Below are 11,270 nucleotides of genomic sequence, written 5' to 3'. Positions count from 1 at the left end.
GTTTCCTGTACAGCCTGTGGAACTGTGAGCCAATTAAACCTCTTTTCTTTATAAATTACCCAGTCTCAGGTATTCTTTTATAGCAGTGTGAGAACAGACCAATACACCCACAATGCCACCAGGGAGCAGTACCCGCTCTCTCTCTTTGTTCACTCTCACTCTTGCCTCATGGTCTCATGATGGCTGCCCCATGCTTGGCCTTACATCTGCCTTCCAGGCAGGAAGAAAGAGAAGGTCAAGGGCAGAAGGAGGAAACCAACAGAGGGTCTCCTCTTTTGAGGCCCTTCCTTTGGAGGCCCCGGTGGTGGTTGATTTTCTGTGTCAGCTTGGCTGGGTTGCAGCGTCCCATTGTTTGGTTGCACAGGAGTCCATACACAGCTGTGAAGGAGTTTTTTTTTAGATGTGATTAGTATTTCCAATCAGCTGACTTTAAGGAAGCATATGACCCTCTGTAATGTGGAGGGGGGGTACTCAATCAGTTGAAGGCTTCTGAGCAAAAGACTGAGAGTCCCTAAAGAAGGAATTCTCTTCCAGACCGTAGCAGAGGAATCCCATCTGTGGATTTTCGACTTCAGACGGCAACGTCAACTCTTCACTGAACGTCCTGCCAATTCCTTAAAATCTCTCTCTTTCTCTATATTTGTACATAGCCTACTGATTTAGTTCTGTCTCTCTGGAGAACCTGACTACTAATACATCCACCACATAGCCATGCCCACTGACATGTTCTTTTTTTTTGTTTGTTTGTTTTTTGAGACAGGTTCTCACTCTGTCACCCAGGCTGGAGTCCTGTCATGCCATCGCAGCTCACTGCAGCCTCGACCTCCCCAGATCGAGCAAGCCTCCTACCTCAGCCTCCTGAGTAGCTGGAACTATAGGTGTGTGCCACCATGCCTGGCTAATTTTTGTATTTTTGGTACAGACGGGTCTCACTATGTTGCCTAGGCTTGTCTCGAATTCCTGGGCTTAAGTGATCCTCCCACCTTGGCCTCCCAAAGTGCTGGGATTACAGACATGGGTCACCGTGCCCAGCCCTGTGACATATTCTTGAACAGGACTGTCACATGGTACTTTATCTGCAGGGGAGGCTGAGTCTTTTTCAAAACTCGGTATATCACCACCACAACCAAATTGCAATTTTATTCCTAAGGAAGAACCAGGGTAGAGATTGATTTGGTTGATGTCTGCCAAAATATAGAAAACTATAGACAGTACAATCGATAGTGGGTCCCATGTAACCTCCACTGAGCTTCAGTAAGGGGGAGCATTTATTATGCTTCCTTCACGCACATTTCTGTTTTTTTTTTTTTTTGAGACAGAATCTTGCTCTGTCTCCCAGGCTGGAGTGCAGTGGTGCAATCTCGGCTCACTGCCATTTTTGCCTCCCGGGTTCAAGTGATTCTCCCGCCTCAGCCTCCTGAGTAGCTAGGATTACAGGCACCCACCACCATGCCCGGCTAATTTTTTAAAATTTTTTTAATTTTTATTTTTTAGTCTTGCTCTGTTGCCCAGGCTGGAGTGCAATGTCATGATGTTGGCTCACTGCAACCTCCACCTCCTGGGCTCAAGTGATTCTCCTGCCTCAGCCTCCTGAGTAGCTGGGATTACAGGTGTCTGCCACCATGTCCAGTTAATTTTTGTATTTTCAGTAGAGACTGGGTTTCACAATGTTGGCCAGGCTGGTCTTGAACTCCTGACCTCAGGTAATCCACCTCCCTCAGGTTCCCAAAGTGCTGGGATTACAGGCATGAGCCACCGTGCCCGGCCTAATTTTTGTATTTTTAGTAGAGGCAGGCTTCACCATGTTGGCCAGGATGGTCTCCATCTCTTGACCTCATGATCTGCCCACCTCGGCCTCCCAAAGTGCTGGGATTACAGGCATGAGTCACCATGCTCTGCCACGCATTTCTTAAAGAATCGAGCTGCAGATCCAGCGGCAGCCCCGGCACCCTTCCGCTCCCGTGGCCCCTCTCTGCGCAGAGAATGTGGTGTCGCCTCCGGGTACGTCTCAGCTTCCTATAATGCACATTGCATAGAGCTCCCAATCATATTTCCATGTAATATTGTTTTGCAGCTTCCCAATTATCTTAAGTTTCAGATGAGCAGCATCATGCCGTGTTCAGCCTACCCCTTCAACATGAAGCGTTCCGGTTTTTCCCTGTTGAATCTGAGGCTCTTCCCTCAGCAGAGCCGCTGGACCCCGGGCCGCTGCGCGAACACGTGGCCACCCCACCTCGACTAGTCCACGCTCTCCTACTGCCGGCTATGCTGGGGGTTTCCATTTTTTGCTGATACGTAGTTTTGCTACCTAAGCTTCCATCGATGCCGTTGTGTGTCATTGTGGACTCTGCGGTGACCTTCTCTAGGCATCTGGCCGAGGTAGAATTAACCCGGGGTCGGGGGGGGAGATGCACCTCTTCAACGCATTCCCCGTCACCTAACGGCTTTCCAGCCTGGCCGCCCCGATTCGCCCTCCGTCAGCCGGGTGAGCTTCTCTGTGCTTCAGATCTTCACTAACTGCTGGCATCGGCCACCCCTCAGGTTCTGCTCCGTTCGTGGGGGTTAAAGCGCACGTTCATGTTTTCATTGCATTTCCCTGATTGACGGTTGAGCTGAACATTAAAAACTGTGTGTATCGGTCATTCACGTTTCTTCTGTTTCGATTATGCTTGCCTCTGGCCCTTTCTCTTCCTTCTGGACTGATTGACTTCTAATTGATTTGTAGGGGTTCACGGTCCTTGCTAATCCTCTCTCAGCTGTAGGTGCAGAGATCTTCCCCCGGCTGACGGCTTGCATTTTTCCTTTGTGAAGTTTTCCTTGTATAAGATGCTTTAATTTTATTGTTGTCAAAAAGACTCATGTTTGAAGGTCACAGGCTTTTTATATCTTGTTTAATTAATTAATCCCTTCATAAACCTCAGGTTTATGAAGATATGATCTAATATTTCCTTCTCAAAGTCTTGTTCTTTACATTTACGGATTTATTCCGCCTGGGATTTATTTTTGTGTTTGGCAGGAAGTAAAAATCTAATCTTATTTCATTATGGAGATCCAGTTGTTACCGTAGCACCATTTAGGGCATGGTTAAAATAGTTCACACTGAATTGAACCCCTCCTCTGACATTTCTCAAGCTCTCCAGAGGCGAGCGGACCCGTTTCTGGGTGCTTTGGCCCCCTCAGCCAGTTTCCCCCTGAGCACGAAGGACCCTCACATGTGGCTGCTGTCACTTCCTGGGTGTTGATTTCTCATCTTCCTCAACTTCTTGGCTGCTCTGCACCCTCTGTTCTTCCTTGCTAATTTCTAACGAACTAGTAAGTTTTGTGAAAAGCCCTGTTGAAATTTGATTGGAATGTAAAGACGGAAATTGACGTCTCAGGGCACTGAGTCTCCTGTGCTTGGATGCAGGGCCGGTGGTCCTCACCTGCCGCTGCCAGGGCAGCCTGGTCTCTCCCACCTTCCAGAACCAGGCCCATTGCACTTCCTGCCCTGAGGCGAGCTGGGGCCACAGGACAGCCTGGGAGCAGCAGTGGCGTGGTGTGTGGCACATCAGGGCACAACTTGTCTTCACACACCATGCTCCCTCTGGCATGGTGTCCTCCAGCACAGGAGACAATGGCTCTGCCATCTGCACCCTCCCTCAACCTGCAGCAGACAGGAAATGTGAGCGAGGAACACGCTATGAGGTCTGAGATTGGCTGGCATGGGCCCTTGAAAGCCTGGTGGTCAATTTTCTGGAATTTTGCAAGCTGGTTTAATTCATGTTTGCCTGAAATCTGCTGTGGTGGGAAAATTCAAATGGTGGAAATCTGCAAATGCAGTCATCTGTACCTTTCCCCCCTGAAAGTGAGGCTTTTATTTATAATGTTCTCTTTCTTTTTTTGTCTTGAAATTTACTTTTTATTATAAAATTAATACATGCTTATTGTATACAATTCAAGAACATGGAAGTATGTAATTCTAGTCTCCAGAGGTAACCATTGTTTACAGCTTAGCGTGTATTGTTCCTCACTTAAAAAAAAGCCCCGACATTACTGAGGTTATGTGATTGAGACGCACAAAGCTGTAGCCATTTTATTTATTTATTTATTTGAGATGGAGTTTCGCTCTTGCCACTCAAGCTGGAGTGCAATGGCGTGATCTTGGCTCACTGCAACCTCTGCCTCCCGGGTTCAAGCGATTGTCCTGCCTCAGTCTCCAGAGTAGCTGGGATTACAGGCACCTGCCACTACGCCCAGCTAATTTTTGTATTTTTAGTACAGATGGGGTTTCACCATGTTGACCAGGCTGGTCTCGAACTCCTGACCTCAGGTGATCCTCCCGCCTCGGCCTCCCAAAGTGCTGGGGTTACAGGCATGAGCCACTGAGCCCGGCCTGTAGCTAGCTATTTTAGGTAAACAACGTGGCCAGTTTGGAGTTAAGTACGCACCTGTGAAGCCATTACGACCCTTTATGCCATAAACCTATTCATCTCCTCGAAAAGTTGCCTTGGGCTTTCTTATTTCTCCTTTTTCTTCTTTCTGTGATAGCAGATTTTCAGGTAGATGGTGTGGGGTTGGAGCGGCACGTGCTCTGCTGCAGAGGCGACCTCTAGGACTCATTGGCCCTGCCCACCCTGCGGCCTCTGACCACCACCATTCCACTTTCTGCTTCTGTGAGTTGGACTGTTGTAGGCCCACGACAGGATTTTCTTCCTGCTTAAGGCTGAATAGTATTCCGTGGTGTGTACAGCCGTCCCCCTTACCTGCGGGGGTCTTATGCAAGATCCCCAGGGGAGCCTGAAACCACAGCTTGTGGCCCCCAACCCGATTCCTGTCATCCACACACGTTCTTGTCCATGTCTCCACCCGCAGCTCTGCTGCCTGCCTCATCTTCACAGGGTGCCCGTCACACACTGTGGCCGCACCTTTTGCATTTCAAGGTGGGACAGCAACATTAGCATGAATTTCTTTTCCCTCTTCACAATTTCAGGGATGGAAGATTCGTTTTCACCATAGATCTCAGCAACCTCATCATACCGTTATTTTTTTTTTCCAGTACATCAAGAACTTTGACCTTTTCACTGAAAGGAAGCACTTTACATCTTCTCTTTGGCATATCTGAGTTGCCGGTATCACTGTTGTGGTTGGGGCCATTAGGAAGTAAAGCAAGGGTGAAGTGAACACAAGCCCAGCCGTACTGTGACCGCCAATCTGAAAACAGGGACAGCTACTGAGTGATTGACAGCAGGGTGGTGTGGACAGTGCTGTGACCGCCAATCAGAAAACAGGGACGGCTACTGAGTGATTGACAGTGGTGTGGTGTGGACAGTGCGGGTATAAAGGGAAGATTCAAGTCCCTGGTGGGAGGTACAAGATTTCATCACGCTATTCAGACCTGCATGCCATTTAAAATGTATGAATTGCTTATTTCTGTAATTATTTTATTATTTACTTATTTTTATTTTACTTTAAGTTCTGGGATACTTGTGCAGAACGTGCAGGTTCATTACATAGGTACGCATGTGCCATGGTGGTTTGCCGCACCCATCAACCCGTCATCTAGATTTAAGCCCCGCATGCATTAGGTATTTATCCTGATGCTCTCCCTCCCTTTGCTCCCCACCCCCCGACAGGCCCCCGTGTGCGATGTTCCCCTCCCTGTGTCCTTGTGTTCTCATTGTTCAACTCCCACTTATGAGTGAGAACATGTGGTGTTTGGTTTTCTGTTCCTGTGTTAGTTTGCTAAGAATGATGGTTTCTAGCTTCATCCATGTCCCTGCAAAGGGCATTAACATTCTTTTTTATGGCTGCATAGTATTCCATGGTGTATATGTGCCACATTTTCTTTATCCAGTCTATCATTGATGGGCATTTGGGTTGGTTCCAAGTCTTTGCTATTGTAAATAGTGCTGCAATAAACATATGTGTGCATGTGCCTTTATAGTAGAATGATTTATAATCCTTTGAGTATATACCCAGTAATGGGATTGCTGGGTCAAATGGTATTTCCGGTTCTAGATCCTTGAGGAATTGCCACACTGTCTTCCACGATGGTTGAACTAATTTACACTCCCACCAACAGTGTAAAAGCATTCCTATTTCTCCACATCCTCTTCAGCTTCTATTGTTTCCTGACTTTCTAATGATCGCCGTTCTAACTGGCATGAGATGGTATCTCATTGTGGTTTTGATTTGCATTTGTCTAATGACCAGTGATTACGAGCTTTGTTTTCATATGTTTGTTGGCCGCATAAATGTCTTCTGTTGAGAAATATCTGTTCATTTTCTATTTAATATTGTCAGGCTGGGGTTGATTGCGGGTAACCAAAACTGCGGAGAGTAAATCCTTGGGTGAGGGGGAAACTACTGTATACACCACATTTTCTTTACCCATTCCTTCACGGATCCACACGTCTTGGCTGTTGCTGACAGTGCCTCAATGGACATGGGAGCACAGACATCTGTGTGATATTCTGATTTTCTTTCCTTCAGATAGATACCCAGCAGTGGGATGGCTGGTTCCTATGGTAGCTCAATATTTAGTATTTTTAGGAACTGCCCCCATCCCGTACTGTTTTCCCTAGAGACTGTACTGATTGCATTCCCACCAACAGGGTGCCAGGGTCCCCTTCCCCCCACATCCTTGCCAGCGCTGGTTATCTTTTGTCTTTTTTTAATAGTCGTTCTGACAAATGTCAGGTGGTATCTTGCTGTGGATTTGGTTTGCATTTCCTGGGTGACCCTAATAAGCACCTTTCACATGCCTGTTGGCCATGTGTGTGTCCTCTCTGGAAAAATGTCTATTCAGGTCCTCTTCCCATTTTTAAATTGGATTGTTTATCTTTTTGCTATTGACTTTCAGGAATTCCTTAGACATTTTGGATCTTAACCCTTTTTAGGGATATGGTTGACAAATATTTTCTCCCAATCTGTAAGTTAGTTGCCTTTTACTTTGTTGATTGTTTTCTCTGCTGTGAAGAGCAGGGATTGTTATCTTATTTAAAATTTTTATTTTGGGTCTGGACATCCAGTTGTTAAACATTTACCAGCACGCCACTGACCACATCATTGCCAGCTGAAACTGCTGAGATCCTGAGTTTGTAATTCACTGCAGTGTAGCTTCTAGTTCCTGAAACAGTACAGCTCTCAGTTGATTCAGATCTCTGTGCTCTTCTGTAATACTGAAATTATTTTCATAGAAAACTTGCACATCTCCTCTTAGTGCTATTCCTACAGACTTCATACTTTTTGCTGCTCTAGATTTTTTAAAATCCCATGTTCAAATTGATTATCTCTACTGGAAACAATTCCCTTAACTTTTGGATATTAATATTGAATCCAGCATAGGGGCTGGAGTCCCCCATTAGGTTCCCTGGATAGGTGAGACAACCCTATTGCTACAAACAAGGATAGTTTGATTTCTTTCCAAATCTCATCCTGCAGTGCATTTTCTTCTCCTTCGTGTCATCAGGTACAAGTGGGGTCGCATAAATGGGCAGTGTGTTCGCGCCTTGTCCTGAGTTCAAGGAGAAGTTTCACCATTAAACGCGATTGTTGCAGGTTAGTAATACGCTTCCTCCAGCGTTAAAAGGATATTCTCTTCTATTACTTATTTTTTAAGAGTTTAAAAAAATGAACAATGAATTTAAAATTTTACCAAAGGGTGTTTTTTTATTTTTCACCTGGAGAATGATCTTCTGGTGTTTTTGTTTTGATTTTTTGGTGCGTGATATTTTATTATTAGAATTTCTGATTTTGAATTATCTTTGTATTGCTGGAGTAAATCCTATTACATCAGATTAAATAAACCTCCAAAAATTGAGTCATACAACGTCTCCTTTTTTTCCTTCTCCCAGGAACAGTTCATATAACGAAGGGTTGTCTTTGAAGGATTTGACTAGTCAATACTGGTTCAGATGATTTTGTTATGATGCTTTCATTCAGGTTATCTATTTTTTGGTGAGGTTTTGTAATTTGCATAGTGAGTTGTTATCTTTTTAAGGCTACTGTAACACGTTACCACAAACCGGTGGCTGAAAACAGCAGAAATGGGTTCTCCCGTGGTTCTGGAATTGGAAGGCTGAAATCAGGGTATGGCCAGGGTGGTTCCACCTGCAGGCCCTGAGGGAGGACCCGCCCTGGCCTCACACCCACCGCCCCCGCTGCTGGTGGGGCCATCGTCTTTGGTTCCTTGGCTTGTAGAAGCATCACCCCAATCTCTGCCTGTCACCACGTGGTGGCCCCCTTCTGGGGGGGGGTCTTCTCCTCTTCTTAGAAGGACACAGGTCATCGGATTAAGGGCCCACCCTAAACCAATATGACCTCATCTTAACTAACAACTCCAGGGACCCTATTTGCAAATAAGGTGACATTCTGAGGCTCGGGGTGGGCATGGGTTCAGGGGGGCCACTTTGACCCACTATGGTACGTGTGGGCCCCCCTGGCCACTGTCTCTCATCAGTGCTGGGTCCTCATGGCCAGTGGTCGGCAGACGACCCAGCTCCAGTCCTATTTCAAAGTTTGCTTTGTTGGAGCAGTCCAGGTGCCAGTTGTCCTAAGACGGCTTCTGGGGGCAGGTGGGGATGTGTGTGCAGCAGGCTGGCATGGAGGGCTCCCGGAATCAAGGCCCGGGGGGAGAGAGGGAAGCAGAAATGGGCAGAAGGAGATGCCCCACTGGGATGCGGCCTCAACACAGGCCCCTGCCCAGCCACGGAGTGTCCTGGGCCCAGGATGACACTTTAGTGAGGCTCTGAATCCAAGCCACGAGGCCATGCCTGGGCTGTGGTCTCTGGTCCCCTCCCCAGTAACGGAATGAGACCCACTCCCAAAGAAGGGCATGACCCGGGGTGAAGCAGCCCCCTCTGTCCCAGGGCAGTTCCTGGGAGAGGTTCAGCTGTGGACTCGTCACCAATTACCAGACACTTTGGTCCTGAGGGGACATTTGACAGCCACTTCTGCCTGGGGCCAGTGTCACCAGGAGGTGCTTGTGTATGGCTTGGGAACACCCCTGCCATGCGAGTCCCTACAGACCCTTGCTCCAGCCAATCCCCCTCCCCGCTGAAACTGTGACCAGGCACCTGCCTGCTGCCTGGCCCCAAAGAGGGCGCACTGGGCAGATGCTGCCCTGATGGCGTGGGCAGGGGGCCTGGACCCTGACTGTGCTTGCTCTGTGCCTGAGGCCGTTCTCCGCTCCCCCTCCTGCTCCTGTGCCAGTGACCCCACTTACTGAGCGCCACATGTCCTTGGCTCACACGTTGTCTGGGCTGAATCATGTCCCCTCAGATTCATATGTTAAAGTCCTAACCTCCAGGACCGCAGCGTGTGGTCTTATTTGGGGATGGAGTCTTTCCGGCAGTGATCCAGTTACATGACAGCATTAGGGTGGCTCGAATCCAGGGTGGCTGGTGTCCTTACAAACAGGAAACGTAGGCACAGAGACAGACATGCACACAGAAGACCATGTGAGGACACAGGGAGAAGGCGGCCGTCCACACGCCAAGGAGCGAGGCCTCAGGAGAAACCACCCTACTGACGCCTTCATCTCAGATCCCCAGCCTCCAGGGCTGTGACGTGGGACAGTAAACGGTTGTTTAAGCCACACAGTCTGTGGTCCTGTGTTACTGCAGCCCCAACTGAGGAACACACATGCATTCTCTTATTTAATTTTCACAGTGACCCCAGGAAGGTTGGCCATTATGCCTATTTCCCAGACAAGGAAACCGAGGCTTGCAGAATTTGAGTGACCGCAGTCACCCAGCCAGTAAGTACTGGGGAGCTGGGAACTGACCAAGACTGTCTGCCTTGCAGTGCCCCCGAATCTGGCTGTGGCCTTCAGCCTGACCCTCGTGGGTCCCTTAGTCTCACCCCCAGGAATCTGCTGCCTTAGAGTGGACTCCACGCTGGGGGTTCCCAGGCTGCTGCCGGAGGCGCCAGGCCCTGACTCCATGGAGCCCCCAGAGCCTGTCTCCTCCCAGCTCCAGATCAGCCCTGTGACACCATCGTTGCCGTCCTCTCTGCTCTGAGTCCCGGGAAGGCCAGGAGCCACACACCTCCTGTGCAGAACATGGACTGGAACCCTGGGTTTTCCTCCCAGGAGCCCTCAGCCCTGTCTGCACTTGGGGCTCCCCTAGGGAGCACAGCCAGGACTGCTGCCTGGGCCCCCAACACACGAGGACAGATTTCAGGGCACTAGGCTGGGCCACAGGCCCAACCAAGCCACCCCATGCTCACGGGCATCATGGGTTGGGGGTCCCCGTCTGGAGTCAGACAGTGCTTCTAACAGTGAAGGCAGCCCCCACCTCCATTGAACAGGCCCCATGCTGTGCCTCCTCCTGAGACTGTGCCATGGATATTTGGGGGCCAGTCAGGGTCTGGAAGCTTCCAGGAGCTGGAGCTGAGTGCTGTCCTTGGCCTGGGTGCTCACCTCAGTGGCAGCCGCCCAAGGTGCCCTCAGCCCTAATGAGCTGGCCGTCCCTTGATGCCTGAGAGGCAGGTACACAGGAGTGAGGCTGGAAGCAGGCTCTTCACGCGCTGGCTGGCAGGCAGGTGCAGCACTGGGTGGTGCAGGGGCCTCTCTAGCTTGTGGCAGGTGAGCCACCTGGACAAAAACCCCTGGGAAAATGTGCATTCCACTCCAGAGCCTCCACCGAGACAGCCACACGGACTCTGGGTTTCCTCTACCCCCTCCGCACACACCTGAGTAAATCCATGCATCAGTTTGAAGTGGAATGTTCCTGCCTAGAGTGTTCCTAATGGGATAGTAAGGATTTCTTTCTTTCTTTCTCCAGTGCTTGTTATAATGGATGTCGGTGATCAGGGATACTCATTAGTCCTGGTTTCAAAGCCGCTCAGGCGTGAGCAGGTGGGGTCCAGGCTGGGTCCCTCTCTACTGGGGGTGCAACTCTGACCCAGGTGGTCAGGCCAGAGCACCGTGCCCCTAACTTGGCCCAAAGCAATTTGTCTCAACCAAAAGTTCAGCCTCAGAGGAGTATTGGGTAGAAGAGAAATGTTCACCCCTGATTAGATGGCATAAATAAACCAAGAGAGACTAAAAAGAAAAAATTCGTGTTTAGTTTGTAAGAAAAATCCTCTCTTTCTACCTAATGTGTCTGGGAGGAGCCATCATTGCTCAGCAGCTGTTTTCACAAGGGTTAAACACGGCATCGGGTTCTTTATTCTTTGCCAATATTCTGTTTTATACAAGAAGCACCAGTAGCTTGTCTAAAAAGAAATTTGAAATAAAGTGACAAAGGGAAACATTAGACAAAATTATGGTTTAGGCTGGGCATGGT

At 48.8% G+C, this 11,270-nt stretch overlaps 1 annotated feature.

Moving 5' to 3' along the window:
• Window positions 10,251–10,968: an enhancer, noted in NCBI's record as "H3K4me1 hESC enhancer chr8:143144129-143144846 (GRCh37/hg19 assembly coordinates)". NCBI's record gives its function as "activates a minimal SCP1, AML or CMV promoter by ChIP-STARR-seq in primed H9 embryonic stem cells {active_cell/tissue: H9 hESC(primed)}" and the evidence as "EXISTENCE:reporter gene assay evidence [ECO:0000049][PMID:30033119]".

The sequence above is a fragment of the Homo sapiens genome, chromosome 8, assembly GCF_000001405.40.
Source record: "Homo sapiens chromosome 8, GRCh38.p14 Primary Assembly".
NCBI classification, from domain to species: domain Eukaryota; kingdom Metazoa; phylum Chordata; class Mammalia; order Primates; family Hominidae; genus Homo; species Homo sapiens.
Note: the sequence above shows the minus strand (reverse complement) of the source record. Positions and strands in the feature narration are given on the sequence as shown.